This window comes from Homo sapiens, chromosome 10, assembly GCF_000001405.40.
Source record: "Homo sapiens chromosome 10, GRCh38.p14 Primary Assembly".
Classification (NCBI taxonomy): Eukaryota; Metazoa; Chordata; class Mammalia; order Primates; family Hominidae; genus Homo; species Homo sapiens.
In genome coordinates this window covers 43,900,823-43,919,090 of record NC_000010.11, presented here as the reverse complement: position 1 = coordinate 43,919,090, position 18,268 = coordinate 43,900,823, and the positions used below count along the sequence as shown (strand labels likewise).

At 42.8% G+C, this 18,268-nt stretch overlaps 2 long non-coding RNA genes across 8 annotated transcripts in view; one reads left to right on the top strand and one right to left on the bottom strand.

Annotated features, from left to right (window-relative positions):
• Positions 1 to 9,795, bottom strand: part of LINC00841 (long intergenic non-protein coding RNA 841) — a 71,970-nt gene extending 62,175 nt beyond the window's left edge. For 2 of the 3 annotated variants that reach the window (NR_136147.1, NR_033846.2), the window contains exons 1-2: positions 9,722 to 9,795; positions 9,432 to 9,548 (exon numbers count right to left, since the gene is read on the bottom strand). This is a non-coding gene — a long non-coding RNA (long intergenic non-protein coding RNA 841). Of the gene's footprint in view, positions 1 to 4,584; positions 5,333 to 6,612; positions 6,690 to 9,431; positions 9,549 to 9,721 lie in introns of those variants that run through there. The other variant, NR_136148.1, reaches the window with a different exon arrangement.
• Positions 6,722 to 17,726, top strand: LINC02659 (long intergenic non-protein coding RNA 2659). Of its 5 annotated transcripts, none has more exons than NR_184140.1 (3): positions 6,722 to 6,798; positions 15,502 to 15,663; positions 17,268 to 17,726. It is a non-coding gene; the product is annotated as a long intergenic non-protein coding RNA 2659 (long non-coding RNA). The 5 variants fall into 5 exon arrangements; NR_184144.1 differs by having other exon boundaries at positions 15,491 to 15,663; NR_184142.1 differs by having other exon boundaries at positions 14,942 to 15,663.
• The last annotated feature ends 542 nt before the right edge of the window (positions 17,727 to 18,268 follow it).

Below are 18,268 nucleotides of genomic sequence, written 5' to 3'. Positions count from 1 at the left end.
AGAGAGTGGGGGCCAATATTCAACATTCTTAAAGAAAAGAATTTTCAACCCAGAATTTCACATCAAGCCAAACTAAGCTTCATAAGTGAAGGAGAAATAAAATCCTTTACAGACAAGCAAATGCTGAGAGATTTTGTCACCACCAGGCCTGCCCTACAAGAGCTCCTGAAGGAAGCACTAAACATGGAAAGGAAAAACCGGTATCAGCCACTGCAAAAACATGCCAAATTGTAAAGACCATCAATGCTAGGAAGAAACTGCATCAACTAACGAGCAAAATAACCAGCTAAAATCATAATGACAGGATCAAATTCACACATAACAATATTAACTTTAAATGTAAATGGGCTCAATGCTCCAATTAAAAGGCACAGACTGGCAAATTGGATAAAGAGTCAAGACCCATCAGTCTGCTGTATTCAGGAGACCCATCTCACATGCAGAGACACACATAGGCTCAAAATAAAGGGATGGAGGACGATCTACCAAGCAAATGGAAAACAAAAAAAGGCAGGAGTTGCAATCCTAGTCTCTGATAAAACAGACTTTAAACCAACAAAGATCAAAAGAGACAAGGCCATTGCATAATGGTAAAGGGATCAATTAAACAAGAAGAGCTAACTATCCTAAATATATATGCACCCAATACAGGAGCACCCAGATTCATAAAGCAAGTCCTTAGAGACCTACAAAGAGGCTTAGACTCCCAAACAATAATAATGGGAGACTTTAACACCCCACTGTCAGTATTAGAGAGATCGAGACAGAAGGCTAACAAGGATATCCAGGACTTGAACTCAGCTCTGCACCAAGCAAACCTAACAGACATCTACAGAACTCTACACCCCAAATCAACAGAATATACATTCTTTCCAGCACCACATCACACTTATTCCAAAATTGACCATATAGTTGGAAGTAAAGCACTCCTCAGCAAATGTAAAAGAACAGAAATCACAACAAACTGTCTCTCAGACCACAGTGCAATCAAATTACAACTCAGGATTAAGAAACTCACTCAAAACCGCTCAACTACATGGAAACTGAACCACCTGCTCCTGAATGACTACTGGTAAATAATGAAATGAAGGCAGAAATAAAGATGTTCTTTGAAACCAACGAGAACAAAGACAAAACATACCAGAATCTCTGGGACACATTTAAAGCAGTGTGCAGAGGGAAATTTATAGCACTAAATGCCCACAAGAGAAAGCAGGAAAGAACTAAAATTGACACCCTAACATCACAATTAAAAGAACTAAAAAAGCAAGAGCAAACACATTCAAAAGCTAGCAGAAGGCAAGAAATAACTAAGATCAGAACAGAACTGAAGGAGACAGAGATACAAAAAACCCTTCAAAAAATCAATGAATGCAGGAGCTGGTTTTTTTAAAAGATCAACAAAACTGATAGACCATTAGCAAGACTAATAAAGAAGAGAGAAGCATCAAATAGATGCCATAAAAAATGATAAAGGGGATATCACCACCGATCCCACAGAAATACAAACTACCATCAGAGAATACTATAAACACCTCTAAACAGATAAACTAGAAAAACTAGAAGAAATGGATAAATTCCTGGACACATAAACCCTCCCAAGACTAAACCAGGAAGAAGCTGAATTGCTGAATAGGCCAACAACAGGCTCTCAAATTGAGGCAATAATTAATAGCCTACCAACCAAAAAAGTCCAGGACCAGGCAGATTCACAGCCAAATTCTACCAGAGGTACAAGGAGAAGCTGGTACCATTCCTTCTGAAACTATTCCAATCAATAGAAAAAGAGGGAATCCTCCCTAACTCATTTTATGAGGCCAGCATCATTCTGATACCAAAGCCTGGCAGAAACACAACCAAAAAAGAGAATTTTAGACCAATATCTCTGATGAACATTGATGCAAAAATCCTCAATGAAATACTGGCAAAACGAATCCAGCAGCACATCAAAAAGCTTATCCACCATGATCAAGTGGGCTTCATCCCTGGGATGCAAGGCTGGTTCAACATATGCAAATCAATAAACATAATCCAGCATATAAACAGAACCAAAGACAAAAACCACATGATTATCTCAATAGATGCAGCCCTTCATGCTGAAAACTCTCAATAAACTAAGCATTGATGGAACGTATCTCAAAATAATAAGAGCTATTTATGACAAACCCACAGCCAGTATCATACTGAATGGGCAAAAACTGGAAGCATTATCTTTGAAAACTGGCACAACACAGGGATGCCCTCTCTCACCACTCCTATTCAACATAGTGTTGGAAGTTCTGGCCAGGGCAATCAGGCAAGAGAAAGAAAGTGTATTCAAATAGGAAAAGAGGAAGTCAAATTGTCCCTGTTTGCAGATGACATAATTGTGTATTTAGAAAACCCCATCATCTCAGCCCAAAATCTCCTTAAGCTGATAAGTAACTTCAGCAAAGCCTCAGGATACAAAAATCAATGTGCAAAAATCACAAGCATTCTTATACACCAACAACAGACAAACAGAGAGCCAAATCATGAGTGAACTCCCATTTTCAATTGCTTCAGAGAGAATACCTAGGAATCCAACTTACAAGGGATGTGAGGGACCTCTTCAAGGAGAACTACAAACCACTGCTCAGTGAAATAAAAGAGGACACAAACAAATGGAAGAACATTCCATGCTCATAGATAGGAAGAATCAATATTGTGAAAATGGCCATACTGCCCAAGGTAATTTATAGATTCAATGCCATCCCCATCAAGCTACCAATGACTTTCTTCACAGAATTGGAAAAAACTACTTTAAAGCTCATATGGAACCAAAAAAGAGCCCGCATTGCCAAGACAATCCTAAGCAAAAAGAACAAAGCTGGAGGCATCACGCTACCTGACTTCAAACTATACTACAAGGCTACAGTAACCAAAACAGCATGGTACTGGTACCAAAACAGAGATACAGACCAATGGAACAGAACAGAGGCCCCAGAAATAACACCACACATCTACAGCCATCTGATCTTTAACAAACCTGACAAGAACAAGAAATGGGAAAGGATTCCCTGTTTAATAAATGGCACTGGGAAAACTCGCTAGCCATATCTAGAAAGCTGAAACTGGATCCCTTCCTTACATCTTATACAAAAATTAATCCAATATGGATTAAAGACTTAAATGTTAGACCTAAAACCATAAAAGCCCTAGAAGAAAACCTAGGCAATACCATTCAGGACATAGGCATGGGCAAGGACTTCATGACTAAAACACCAAAAGCAATGGCAATAAAAGCCAAAATAGGCAAATGGGATCTAGTTAAACTAAAGAGCTTCTGCACAGCAAAAGAAACCACCATCAGAGTGAACAGGCAACCTACAGAATGGGAGAAAATTTTTTCATTCTACCCATCTGACAAAGGGCTAATATCCAGAATCTACAAAGAACTTATATAAATTTACAAGAAAAAATCAAACAACCCCATGAAAAAGTGGGCAAAGGATATGAACAGACACGTTTCAAAAGAAGACATTTATGCAGCCAACAGACACATGAAAAAATGCTCATCATCACAGGTCATCATAGAAATGCAAATCAAAACCACGATAAGATACCATCTCACACCAGTTAGAATGGCGATCATTAAAAAGTCAGGCAACAACAGGTGCTGAAGAGGATGTGGAGAAATAGGAACACTTTTACACTGTTGGTGGGAGTGTAAACTAGTTCAACCATTGTGGAAGACAGTGTGGCGATTCCTCAAGGACCACTAGAAATATCATTTGACCCAGCAATCCCATTCCTGGGTATATACCCAAAGGATTACAAATCATGCTGCTATAAAGACACATGCACACGTATGTTTATTGTGGCACTATTCACAATAGCAAAGACTTGGAACCAACCCAAATGTCCATCAGTGATAGACTGGGTTAAGAAAATGTGACACATACACCAGGGAATACTATGTAGCCATAAAAAAATGATGAGTTCATGTCCTTTGTAGCGACATGGATGAAGCTGGAAACCATCATTCTGAGCAAACTATTGCAAGAACAGAAAACAAAACACTGCATGTTCTCACTCATAGGTGTGAATTGAACAATGAGAACACTTGGACACAGGGCGGGGAACATCACACACCGGGGCCTGTCATGGGGTGGGGTATGGGGGAGGGATAGCTTAGGAGAAATACCTAATGTAAATGACAAGTTAATGGGTGCACCAAACCAACATGGCACATGTGTACATATGTAACAATCCTGCACACTGTGCACATGTGCCCTAGAACTTAAAGTATAATAAAAAATAAAAAAAAATAGAAAGAATAACATCTGAAGTGGGAACTTTAAGTGCAAAATTGTTTTGTTACCAAAACATCAAAAAAAGTTTTGTAAATAGATAACGTTTTAATCTTTTTTTCAGTTCTGGTTCAAGAACTTAACAAAAATGACATACATAAAAAGGATATTAAGAAATATATTCAGTAAGATCATGGCAGTTTAGTAGATGCAGCAAACACACAGGCAGTTCTGTTGAACTCTGTGGCTTCAGAGCAAGCAGAAATAAATGAACCAATTGATATTAATGAGGAAAACACAAACCCACAATGTGTAACTTAAAAAACAATCCTATATTTAATCATTCAGGTTAACACAGCCATACAAACTGGTATTTAAGAAATCTCCCCAGTTAGCCTATTTTTCATTTTTCCATGTATTTCCAGGAGAGATCACCACAAGTAAGTCAGAGTGCATGCATTAAAGTCAAAATGATTGGTGCCTTCAAGAGGAAGATCCCTGAATCATGCAAGGAGCTTCATTCAGAAAGAAGACCTTCATCTCTACCTTCAGAATGTTCTTCACTGCACTGGAATGAAGATGGTGATGATAACGATGGTCAGGGCTCAAGCTCAGGCCCTTCCCTGCTGTGTGCCATAAATCAGTGCCCGAAGGGACAGGAAGCAGAGGAGCCCATGAGGGTGGCCGTCTCCAGAACAGATGCTCCCCATTCAGCCACACTTGGCCTGGATGTGCATACCAGGTGTGAGGCTATTGATTCAAATCTGGGTTAAGGAACCCGGCTTCTCCAGGGCTCCATGTGAGGACTAGCAGGGTGCTGCCATCAGGTCAGGAAGTGGCTTGGAATGGGGGCCATTCCCACTGCATATCTAACACTATGGATCCGCTCCAATGCCCAGGAAGCTGGGGTGAAGAGGACAGGCTTTGGCATGCAACACCCTGAGGCTCAAGTCCAGGATGTGGGCTCTGAGGCGAGTTAGTTTAGCTCTGAGCCTCAGTGTTTCTCTCTGAAAGTGGAGTTAGCAGTGTCTTCGTCTGAGACTTCCTGTGAGAATTCAGTACTGCATGAAAAGTGGCCCAAAGCACATAATTAATTATTGCTCATTATTTGTACTACCTGTAAGCTACTTCATTACGTTGATGACCTTTCTGTAATGAACAGCATATTATATTAAAATATAAGCTTATTTATTCATGTAGCAGATATTCATTAGGCAACTATTATGTGCCAAACTCTAGACTAGTTCTGGGTTATAGAAAAATGGATAAGACTAGGTCCTATCTTCAAAGAGCTAGCAAGATAGGAGAGAAAATAGATTCATGCAATTGCCTAAAATAATAATGAGAATAACAGCAGTAATAATTTGAGACCCCCAGTATGTGCCAGTTCCATTGGTGTGTGGGTTATGGATTGCCAGGGTCATCCCACAGAGTACAGCTTATGGAATCATATTTAAACCTCATGACAATTGCCAAGTGTCTTAGCAACTCAGGCTGCCATAACAAAATACCACAGACTGGGTTGCTTCAACAAGTGTGATTTGTTTTCTCATGGTTCTGGAGACTGAAAGTCTAAAATCAAGGTTCCAGCAGGGTTGGTTCCCAGTAAGACTTCTCTCCTCGGCTTGTAGACAGTTGCCTATGTGCTATGTGTTCACATGGCAGAGTGAGCAAGCTCTCTGGTGTCTCTTCATATAAGGACACTAACCCCATCATGAGGATCCACCCTCAAGTCCTTCACCTAAATCTAATCACCTCCCCAAAGGCCTCATCTCCAAATACTATCACACTAGGGGTAAGAACTTCACATATGAATTGGGGGAACACAATTCCGTCCACAGCACAGAGGTAACCACTACTATTCTGACTTTCTACAAAAAGACACTGGGATTCTAACAGGCCAAGTTCCCCAGGGCCTGTCAGGACTTGCCCAGAGTCACCAGCAAGTATGGGACAGAATTGGAACTCAAATTCAGGATTTGTTTCTACAGAGAAATGGCAAAGAAACCTTTAGAATCCCAAGAAAAAGCAATTAATTTTCAAGGAGGCAGAAGTACTGCGACATACTGAGGCAGAGCCTCTCATCCTGACCTTGAAAGATGCGAGAGGTTCCCCAGGCAGAGAGGAAGAAAAAGGAGGAACTGGAGCATCAACCAAGCAGCTTGCAGGAACCAGTACTGGGGAAGCAATGAGGGCTGGGAGGGTGAGCACAGACAGAGAGATGGGGTCAGGGCAGGAAACGTGGGTAAAGGCCAGGGTCAGAACCTGGGCTGCAACCTTGGGCAGCTGGGAGTCAGCCAAAGATGGTAAGTGGGGCTGGGGTGATTAAATTCATACCCACCAAAGTCATTATTCCAGCAGAGGGAGAAGAAGGAGATGCTGGGAAAGAGGAGAGACCAGCCGGGAAGATGTAACAATAGCCCCATGGTAATAATGGGCCTCTGAGTTCTGAAACAGCCAACAGAGGAGAATGACAAGGAGGGGCAATGATGATCCAAGGAGGTGGCAGATCCTCAGGAAACACAGGGTAGGCTCATGGTGATAAAGTGTGCCAGGTGATGTGGACCTTAGAGGAGAAACGCCCAGGGCAGAGGGTGCTGACTTAGGGGCTACAGGACAGTGCCATGGACTGTTTGTCCCCCCAGAATCCATATGTTGAAACCTAACTCGTGGTGTGATGGTATTTGCAGATGGGATCTTTGAGAAGTAATTAGGTTTAAATGAGATCATGACAGTGGCAACCTGTGATGAGATGAGTGACCTGAGAGATCCCAGAGAGCTCTCTCATGCTTTTCCTGCCATATGAGGCCACAGTGAGAAGGTGCTGTCTATGAATGTGGAAGCAGGCTCTCACCAGGCACTAAACTGCTGGTGCCTTGGTCTGGAACTTCTCAGCCCCCAGAACTGTGAGAAACAAATCCTGTTCATCAAAGATGCTTCATGACATCATTTAGGGGAAAGAGTCAATCCTGTTTCTTAAAGAGGACTAAACAGTGTCCACCTGTTAATTCAGAAAGCCATGGCACTAGCAGTGCTGTAGCAATGGCCTGGGGCGTCTCTCGCCTCAGAGGCAATCCAGATCTGCTGGGGCTTTTTAAGGGAGCAAGTCCTGGCTCTGTGGGGCTCGCCTTGAGCTTAGTTCCTTAAAATTGCAAAGTCACCATGGAGTCAGATTAGAATGGAGCCCATGTCACATATTGAGGGAAATATTTTCATGCTTTTTCTCTCATTAAAAGCAATCTACTAAACTTGCAGGTGACTTTGTCTTTAAGCACACCACTCCTGTGAAGGAGAGACATGGTCTCTTCATTTTATACCCTGTTGGCAGCCCTGATAGGAGAGTCAATGATTTTTCCTCACTTAACCAGAACCACAGAGGGTTTTCTGATGTGTCTGTCGTATCCACCCAGCTAGGGTTCTCCTATATTGTGCTTATGAAATGGATTTCTGGAATCTAATTTTAGAATCTTCCATTTACTCCTGCAAGCTTCACCTTGTTGATCTCAGCTCAATTTACTATTTTTCACATTTATTTCCACTCATGATTTTGTTTTCTATTTCATATGCGCTTTTATATTTGTTACTAGAATGTTAGGTAAGTATGTCTTCCATGATGCCATTCAACCCATTGATTAAAATGTTGAAGAGAATAGGTTCAATGACAGAGCTCTGTGGCCATCCACTAGAGATCACCCCAGCTTGAGAAACAGTCAATGTTTAACATTCTTAGACATAATTCTGTTCTAACCAACTAGAGCCAAACTAAAAATCTAGTAGACCAGGAATAATTTGAAAGAGCCTCAGAAGGCTGGGCCTGCAAGCTCCCACCTCCATCCCAGTGTTTCCATTCCTGGCACTGAAGCCCCTGGGATCTCATCCTTAGGTTTCAGATCCACCGCCCTAGGCCAGCCGCTCACCCTGCTGATCCAGAGCTGGCTCCAAATCAGCGCAGCCCATGGGCCCAGCGCGCCAAAGTCCTGACCAGCCCCTGCCAGGCACAGCTTTCCAAAACAGGCGTTTTTGTCACTGTTGTTGCTTTTAATCTTGCTGTAAAGAGGCACATAATTTCTTGCCAGTTCCTACTGGCAGCCTCTTAGGAAAATCACTGTGTGTGTGTGTGTGTGTGTGTGTGTGTGTGTGTGTGTGTGTGTGTGTGTGTGTGTGTGTAAAGTGTGTGAAGACAGAAGGCCTAAATTCCCCCACTACCCAGGGCTCCTCCCATCCTTCTTTTCATAGCTAATTTCGTTAAGTGTTTAAACAATGTAAATCCGGCAGCCCTCCTTCATTAAAGCTGTGAGATTGAGGGCAGCTGCCGCCTAGCTATGGGCCCTCCCAGCCAGCCTCGGAGCCGAAGCGTCCACCAGCTTTCCCGAAATAGCGAAGCTCTTCCTTCCCTGCCTCCCCTGGAATGACCCCGGGGGAAGGATACTCCATTTCCTACGCCCAGATTACTTTATTTATGACCATCCAATGAGTCCATATTTGGAGAAAAAAATATCACCACCATGTGGAATGAAATCATGCAGCTGTAAATAACTGATGTAAGTGTTTAAATTAAAAGGAGCTCACGATAAGATTGTGTATGTATGGAACTAGGTATAGATGGGGAGTATGTGAACTGGACTCCATTCTGTGACAAGCAGGGTGACCCAGGACAGGACAAGTGGGGCTCTGACAACTTCAGGGGCCTTATGGCTGAGGAGCTGTTCAACATCATTCTTGGTCAGATTCTGCAAACCTGGATGAGGACAGCCAAGGAGTTCAGCTCCTTAAAAATACAAAGTCACCGCCGAATCACATTAGAATGGAGCCCATGCCACATATTGAAGGAAACATTTTCATGCTTTTTCTCCATTATCTACTTATTAAAAATAATTTATTAACCTTGCAGGTGACTTTGTCTTTAAGCACACCACTCCTGTCAAGGAGAGCCTTGTGGTCTCATTTTAGACCCTGTTGGCAGCCCTGGTAAAAGAGTCAATAATTTTTCCTCATAGGTACACATAAACACATTCTAGAGAAGTCTTGTGAAAACCTAATCAAATTTGCAACACATCAGCATGTTTAGTATTTAAGATACTTTGTACAGTGAAGAATCACCTTATAAACCAATAATTATCCTGTGATCCTGCAATATTGCTTAAAATGAAACCTGCCTACCTGGGTTTCAAAGCTTATATTTCCAGAACAGTTTAGACTTCACAATGAAGATCACTCCTTCTAAAACATGACCCTTCCAGGGCAAGCCATTCTCACTCCACCATGAAGCACTTATGCCTGAAATCCAAATGGAGAGTAAGAGTCAGTGAAAGTCACTCTCCTTCTGTTGGAAATGGAAATTACTCCAGAGATACTAGATTTTGGTTCCACCATTGGCTGAGGCTCAACAATTGCCAGCTGGATGATGAACCAATGCTTGGGAGTCAGGAGATGGTATATTCACAACTGACCAAAGCCTGGCTTCTTTTCTTTTCTCTTGAATGCATGTCAGTGGCCTCCCTGGGCTCGCCGTCTATGCCACCCTGCAGGGGCACATGTGCGTTGCAGGCTCTCAGTCAATATTTTATGATAACAATAGCCATCATTGTGAGGATCCCCCAACAGCACTGGGTGTTTTATGACACAACCAAAAACTAGGCACTAATGCAAATTTTAACTGGTAATTGGGAAGTGTGTTAAGATGTTTTTATGATCAATTTGTAGATCAATATTCTAAGTATATTTGGAAAAATACATTATCCATTTGTGCAATACAAATACGTGACATGGTTTGAATCCTCTACTCCCTTATTGGTTGTTGTCCACGTGATTTCTTGCAACACAAGTTTGTTAACATTACTACAACAACAGTGCTTCCCTTATTTTCTTTTGTATTGCTAAAACTTTTGTTAATTACATTTGATGCTTTTTTTTAATCACCATAGAAGTGTGCAAAATTGTCATTCTTTCATTGTGGATTTTTTCTTTTAGCTGTTTTGGCCTTGAGTTCCACCTTGTCTCCTGTTCATATTCACACTCCTGTCTCTTTTTGTTGGGATTCATTCACTATATCATTGCCCATTGCCTTATTTTTAATATTTTTGGATTAACTGGGTACACTAACGCAGTATTTAGATTTTACTCTTAACCAAATGTGAGTCTGTGATTCAAAATAAGAGTTCATCCTGATCATTTTATTAACATGATTTATATGCTTAATTTTATTTCTGCTATTTTGTTTTATGGTCATTTTTAATACACCTTTTATATTGAGGTTACTTTTTTAACCTGACTTTTCCCTTGTGATTTGGAACTCACATCTACTATTTTCATTCTGTTAGTAATGACATTTAATAAGTATGCACTGGAATCTACTTTCTCTAATTTTCATTATCAAAAATAGGCCTGGCATAGTGGCTCACACTTGCAATCCCAGTGCTTTGGGAGGCTGAGGTAGGAGGATCACTTGAGCCCAGGAGTTCAAAGTTACAGTAAGCTGTGATTGCACCACTGCACTTCAGTTTGGGCAACAGAGCAAGACCCCTCTTCAGGAAAAAAAAAAAAAAAGACAATATAAATTGATCCTTCTCTGTGTGATATGAGGAATATACTCCACTTTTACATCTTGTCTTCTGGCCATTCAATTCCCAATTTTTAGTGATACAGTAGGTTATTTGAACTAGATAACTATTACTTAGTTAATATTTTTAACCATGTGTCCTCTTTTGGAAATTATTTTTGGCATTCTTGTTGTGTTTTAATGTCCCATTGAGAATTACATTAATTTTGTTCTATAGTTTATGTTTGTTTGGGGGGAAGAGGTTATTTGTTTATTTTTATTAGTATTTTATATCATGAATTCTCCATTTTTGGATTTGATATTTTGATTCCTCACTCAGTTGGCTTAAAAATGACTCACTAAGATGTTTCTTGTTTGCATTTTTTTGTGGCTGTTGTCTGTCCAGACCCTCACATGGGGTCTGAACTTCTCAAGTTCACAAGAGAACGCAGCTTTTCTGCACTGGGATCTCAATGTCTGCATGGCAGCTAGGGGAGCCAAAATGGGAGAATGCAGGACAGACACTTCAATTTAAATTTCAGATAAACATGAAATAACGCTTCTGGTATAAGAATGCCCCCAATATTGCCTGGGCATCCTGCATTTTATCTGGAAACCCCATGTGGGTCACCATACTTTTCTTGGTCACATTTCTGCAACTGATGATCATTGTCTTCGTGTTACAAAGAAACAGGAACCAAGTTTTATCGCCTTGACCCTCACTGAATTTGTGGGGGCTTTTTCTTGAAATTAAAATAAATTATCAGGGTAAGTCTAGGCAAAAAAAAGCCCTTCATTATTTTATCTAGATTTCTGAAGAGTCTTTCTTTAACTTGGGAAAATTTCCACCAAATAGTTCTTTAATGATAGCTCCACTTTTGGAGGTTCTTTCTCTGGAATGCCTAATATTTATAAATTAAATATATCTCAGCCCATGCTTTTCCTATATTTTCTCTAATTAACCTTCTCTTATCCTCTTCCTCTGACTTCTGTGATGTCAAATTTGACTTCTCTCTTATAAAACCTTTTTTACTGAAAGGTCCATTTTGCTCTCCCCTTCCCCGTTTCCATTTCTGAAATGAACATTTTTTAAATCATCTCACAGCCTTCCCTACCCTGTTTGTTTTTTTTCTTTATGGTTCTCTACTCGAATTTCATAGAAGAAATGCTCATTTGAAGTTTATTGGAAACACAGATCAGAAGTGTTCTCAAAATTTTCCCATCTCTTTCAGAAACTATATTTTATAGGAAAATATTTCCCCTGATTCCTCAGAGTGCTTCCTCCTTTTGAACTGTGCTATCTTCTCATTCTCCTGGTGATTTTCATCTGTGTGCTCGACATTACAGAGGGAATGCAATGTTTGTCCAGAACCATTAGTGGGGATCCCGGTCTGAGTTATTCCGACCCAAGGGAAGGGGCAGGGAAGAAGACCGAGTTCTCAGTTCTCTATGCTGATTCAGCAGCCCCGGGAGCCAGGAAGCAAGCCGTTCTGAGATGGCCTGAGTGGAGCGTCTCTGCCCTTGGTTCTTTTCTCAGTTTGGAAGCCACTGGGAGTTTCCTGGAAGTGCCCTTGTTCTCTGCTGAGCGCCAGCGAGGTTCACCCCTGTTCTTGGCCTGTTCATGGCTCACAGCCCATGACAAGTGTCAGCTGGGGTTAGTGCCTCCCTGGCTTTGTGAAAGGCAGAATCTCTACCTACAAATCTTACAGCCTCCCTCTTCCCCTCTGGGCCTCTCTTCTGGACAGCGCACATGCCAGGAAAAGCTACAGGGCATTGGAGAGAGTCTTCTAGACCTTCCCCGTGATCCTTCCCAACTACATTGTTCCTTCTTTACATGTAAGGAACTAAGCTAAGGGAACTCTCGACATTTCCATCATGCGGCTGTCACCCTACCCTTCCCTCAGCCGATTCACATTTCCCCATTCATACAGTAACAAAGCATGTCAGCATGTAGTTTGCTTAGGATAATTTCTCAGATTTCACAGTATGAATATTTCACTGAATTTTCTCCCTTGAACAGAGTCCATTTTTCCTTTTTCTGGAACAAATGATATGTAAAAAACTGTATGAACCCCATTTTCATTTGGAAGCTGTTCCATGAAATATATTATCTAATTTAACAATGGGTCCCATTGTCAAATTTATTCTCAATACGAAGGCCAGCCATAGATTATCAAAACTTGCAGGCTGGTCAGCGTTCTGTGGGCTTCTGGTGAGATGTTTTACAGATAACATTCTGTATAGGAAGCAATCATGGCTTCATTCTATGATAGGCAAGGTGCCAGGAAATGCTAAATCAAGTGGCAATCGAGTCCCTAAAGAAAGTCATTTCTGATTTATGGTGATAGCTCCAACAATTCTGCTGAACTTTTTACACACTGAAATGACTACTTAGTTATGTTTTCCATTGGAGCAGAGAACAGCTGGCCTGCCAGAGACCCAGCACAGCAGCTGGAATGCAGAAACTCTCATACCATTAACCCCAAAGCCTGAGAAAAAGATTTCTTATTTCTGAAATGTAAGCGCTTGTTTTCTCCCAGCACATCTGACACCCTGAGTCTGTGGTGGCGTTCAGAAAGTGGGAAGCAGCCTGAACTGGGCTGGAGGCGAGGGCAGGAAAAGAGGAGTCAGGCGCTGGCACAATGGGGACTGAGCACTAGCAGGAGCTCCCCAAGGGCCGGGGGTGGTCTGCGTTATTTTTTAATTTATCACAGTTTCAACAGACTTATCTCGAGCAGTCTTGTCTTCCAGCTGCTGGAGCTGCCTGAAACCCTCTAGAGTGTGTGTGTGTGTGTGTGTGTGTGTGTGTGTGTGTCCACGTGCACGTGTGTGTTTTCTTCTGTGTTTGTATATTTTGCTCCTGGAGCTTTAAGAAGAGCCTAGATTAGTATTGTCCAATAGAGTGTGATACAAAGCACATACATAGTTTCAAATGTTCTAGGAGCCACACTAAAAAAAAAAAAAAAAAAAAAAAAAACAGTAAAGAGAAACTAGTAAAATCATGTAATATAATTTATTTAACTTAATACATCCAAAATATTATCAGTTCAGCATGTAACCTTCACATAACTTATTAATGGGATCGGTTGCTTTCTTCTCTTCAGGCCAGGTCTTTGAGCTCGTGTGTGTCTGCCATGCACTTCACACTCACAGCCCACCTCCTGTGGATTGGCCACACGCCTGGGTCTCAGTAGCTCGTGTGCCGGCAGCTGGGATGGGGGCAGGCTGGGCAGTGAAGAAGAACAACCTCCCCCTGTTCTAACTCATTCAGCTCTGCTCGGGTCTTCGTATTTCCCTGGCCCTGAAGCTCCCCCTCTCGGAGGTGCCCCTCTACCAGCCCCTTGAAGAATCGTGTGTGAACCATCACTCCTAGCCCTGTGCTACCAGCCCACCTCACTCACAGCTCATGCAGAACTTTGTAACTAAAATCCCAGGACCTGGAAAATACATGTCTGGGAGCTCCCAGACATAACAATCACTTCTGGACTCCCAGGAGAAGGCCATATCTTTCCCTTGGTCTTCCCTGCCCACTTCCAATCGTTGTCTCACCCTGTTTCTCCACAAACTCTCTCCTCTTTTCCTCTCTGCTCTCCCTTTCCAGATTGAGCAGGATGGTGGTGGGGCTGCTGGGGGGGCATTTCTGGGTCCTGTCCTGGGGAAACAGCTTGCAGAGGGGAGGCAGGGAAGGGCAAGGCATGCTCTCACTTCACTGTCAGTCCTGCAGCTAAGAGTCTGAGGCTGGACCACCGCCTCTGCATGGGACAACAAAACCGGGCTGGCGGCACTCCCGCGACAGTTCCCAGACACCCACAACCCAGGCAGGTGGCGCACCTGAGTAAAGGTGTCTGGGTATCGGATGGGACTGGTGGGCCTGGAAAACACAGGCCCCACCCAGGACATTTAAATTCAGCTTTTAACCCTGTGCAAGCCAAGCAAAACCAGTGGGAGCCAAAGAGTCATCAGCTTGTGGTTCCCAAGAGAGGGACGGGTCCTGGGGACTCTGTTCACAGCTTGTAGGTATCGAGGGACAGCTACCTTGCCTCCTGCCCCACCCTTTTAGGGATCTGCTGTCTATAAACTGCCGGATGTCAGGTACCTGGTTCATCATCTTCATTTTCATGCACGTCAACAGCCACATCACTGACCTTCCAACAAATCTTCCAGCCTTACCGACCCTCAGTCCTCGCCTCTAATGGCCCTATATTCCATCCGGAATCGGACCCTCAAGTGAAGTGAAATGCAGCCTGTAACTCAGAGAGTGGCAGGTTGTCTCCTCTGAACCGGTGTCAGGTGCTACTTTCTCCGCAACCCTAGGCTGTAGGCACTCAGCAGCCCCAGAATCTGCAGGCTTAGCCCTGCCATCCAGAGAGCAGTCCCTGCTGCTGCTCAGGGGGGCCATGCAGCCCAAGACGAGCCTAGATTCCCTCACAGTCTCTGCACTGTCAGGGTCCCCTAAGCTCTGCCAGGTCTCCCTAGTCGGAATGCAACATGTCTGTCTCCATGTTCCGAATTGCATCCAGTCCACCCGCAGGGCCTGTAGCCCTGCCCAGAGGTCCAGGTGGAAGGCATGATGCCCTGTGCAGTCCTGCCCAGACCCCTTCTCAGGAGGTGAGACTCTGCCCTACACATCCAGCAAGGTGCTAAACAGATCAGGTGGAACGAGAATGTCACTGCCTCGTAGTCCACCTGCAGGTACTGGAAACTGCTACCATTGCCCAGACTAGCAGAATAGATTTCACCTTCGAAAGCGACCCTGGCCTGGATCCTGCTGCTTCTGCCACATCTATTTCCAGCTTCCTCTTCCTACTGGCCTCCTTCTGAAGTCCCAACATGATGTCCTGCCAAGTCACACAGGTAATGGCCATGCCGGCTTCTTAAGCCATCCATTTTGTTTCATGTCTTTTCCTTCTTGGGATGCAATGAGCTCAAGTGAAGAGAGTAAGTGCTTTTGAGTCTGAGGAATTTCATCTTGAATCTGGCTCCAAGATTTAATCATTCTGTAATTCTTGGGCAAATTGCTTACCATCTTTGAACCTCAATGTTTTTTCATCATTAACAGGTAATCAATCCTACTTCATAAGGTTATCAGGATGATCAAAACAGATCATGTAGGTAAGACGCTTACCACACAGCAGACACGGCTACCTGCTGGCTACTGTTTTGAGTGGACCTGCACTTTGCCCATGTTGTAATTGCCAGCCTCTTAGCTCTTCCCTGTTCCCAGTTGCCATTAGGAGACTTTGACCCCCTTTGATCCTGTTCACAGCCTAAATGCCACAAGTTGCTATTTTCCAATGGGCTTGTGTAGACAGTCCGGCAACAGTCCTGCCCATCCCCAGCTGCCTTGTCACAGCCTCTGCCTGTGGCTGGGACTCATCTGAATCTTTCGCACATCCCTCACTACCTCCTGCCAAGAAGCCACATCTCATGTTCTGGACATCTGGATTTGGGGGTCATGAGGCTCAATCATCAGGAGGGCCAGAAGGCGATAAGGGAAGAATCCAGTTTCCGAGGGTCTCCAACATGGCATAAGCCACTGTGGGAAGGAAAAGATGGTTTCTCCAAATACAGGCTGGGTGGATGCTGTAAGAGCTCACTGTCAGGATGGTCTTTCCAGCGGTGCCTCTTAATGGGTGCATCATTTATTGAAACCCTATCTGAGCTGTCTGCTTTTGCAGCTGTTGGATATTGTTCTCTCACTCAGTGGTCATTCAAGAGCTGAGACCTTTTAGGTAATTGATGAACATCGCAGAATGACTGACACTCAACTAGCTCTTAAAACCAACCCCTGTATCACCATTGCAATATACAAAAGTTTATTTCTCACACAATATTCAATTTGAGTCAGGCAGCCTCCTTCACCTTGCTCTATGTGACCCAGGTCCATGGCCTCCCAGGTCAAAGCGGCAAAGACAAAGGAAGCTTGTGGGCTCCCACCTGCTCAACCTGGAGGTGACCCTTCTCACAGCCGCCCACAGGCCACTGGGCGGAACATCTGACCTGACTGTGAGGGAGGCTGGAAAATGGGGGGAGCACAGGGAACGTGGATGAGCCAAGCGCTCTGCTCTGGCATTCACGTGGGAGGGGGTGTGGATGTTTATGGGCTGTGGGTGCATGCATTGTATGTGTGTGCTGTGCTTTTCACACTCCTAAAGTGCCAACGGCTGCTCCTCTACCATTTCTCTGTTTTTTGTTTTTTGTTTTTTTTTTGAAATCATTGTGATGGTCCAAATCCCCACATGTCTTGCACAAAGCAGGTGCTTTATAATGTCGTTTGAGTCAGCTCACTCAGACTCTGATGAAAGTCTCTCATAAGAGGAAAAATAGAAATAGGTGTCATTTATCAACTCTCCTCAGTTTTAGGCTCAATGCAAATAAGCACATCACGTGTATTGTTTCATTTCTCTCTTACAGTTACTCTTTGAAATAGGTGCTATTTTTTTATCCTTATTTTACAGGTGAAGATATAGGTTTGGAAAGGGGATATAACTTTCCATGGTCAAAAGCAAATAAACTGAACATCTCAGCCAGCCCATCTGCTTGGAGCCCTCTGCCTTAAAGCCACATCACTCTCTGAGATGAAACACCAGCCAGACAGGGTGAAGACAGGAGCGAGCTCCAGGTTTACAAGTGATAGGATCCCTGTGGATTTCTAGTTCAGACTGAAAATCCATGAAATTTAGAATAATATGGGGATAGTTTACAGACATGTGAACTTTTACTGTGTATGTTTTACTTACAATGCAATACCTAATACTTCCACTGCGACATCAGCAAACATCCTTAGCCCTGTTTGCCACTGCACCACAGAGCTTTTCATGCAAACTAACATTACAGTATGATACAAAGAAAACTGTTTCTTCTTAAGATATTTACAATGTGATCAGGTTTATTTAAATAAAGTCCATTTTATACTAGCTTTAGAATTGTCATTAATTTTAAAAGGCAGTAATATGCCATCAAATTCGTTCCTAATCTTTTACAAGTGTTATTTTTCCTTGCTATTTTCATTTTATCATTATTCTCTCCAAAAGTCTGCAAATTGATTTTGGGGAAAATAGGTAGATATACCACACTAAAGTTGCAGACACCTAAACGTCCATGAAGACTTACTTTTTTTACTCAGGCCAGGCCTAATGTCAGCTGCACAAAACCATGAGGCTCAGCCCTGGAAAGAAGAATGTTTCCACTTTTGCCCTCAGTCCTTCTTCACTATTCAGCTTCTGCATGAATGTCCCTGTGTGCTTTCATAATCTCACATTATCCTAGTATTGTGCTTCTATATTTTTCTAATTTCTAATTTCTAAATTTTCTTTTCAATAAAACTTAAGGACTGCTGAGTTTTTATCCAGGACCAGGAAAAAATAAAAATCAGCACTCTGACAATAAAAGTTGCTTTGAGATTGCATACCATAAGTCACGCTTGTTCGGTGTCCAGGGATACCACTGTATTTCCAGT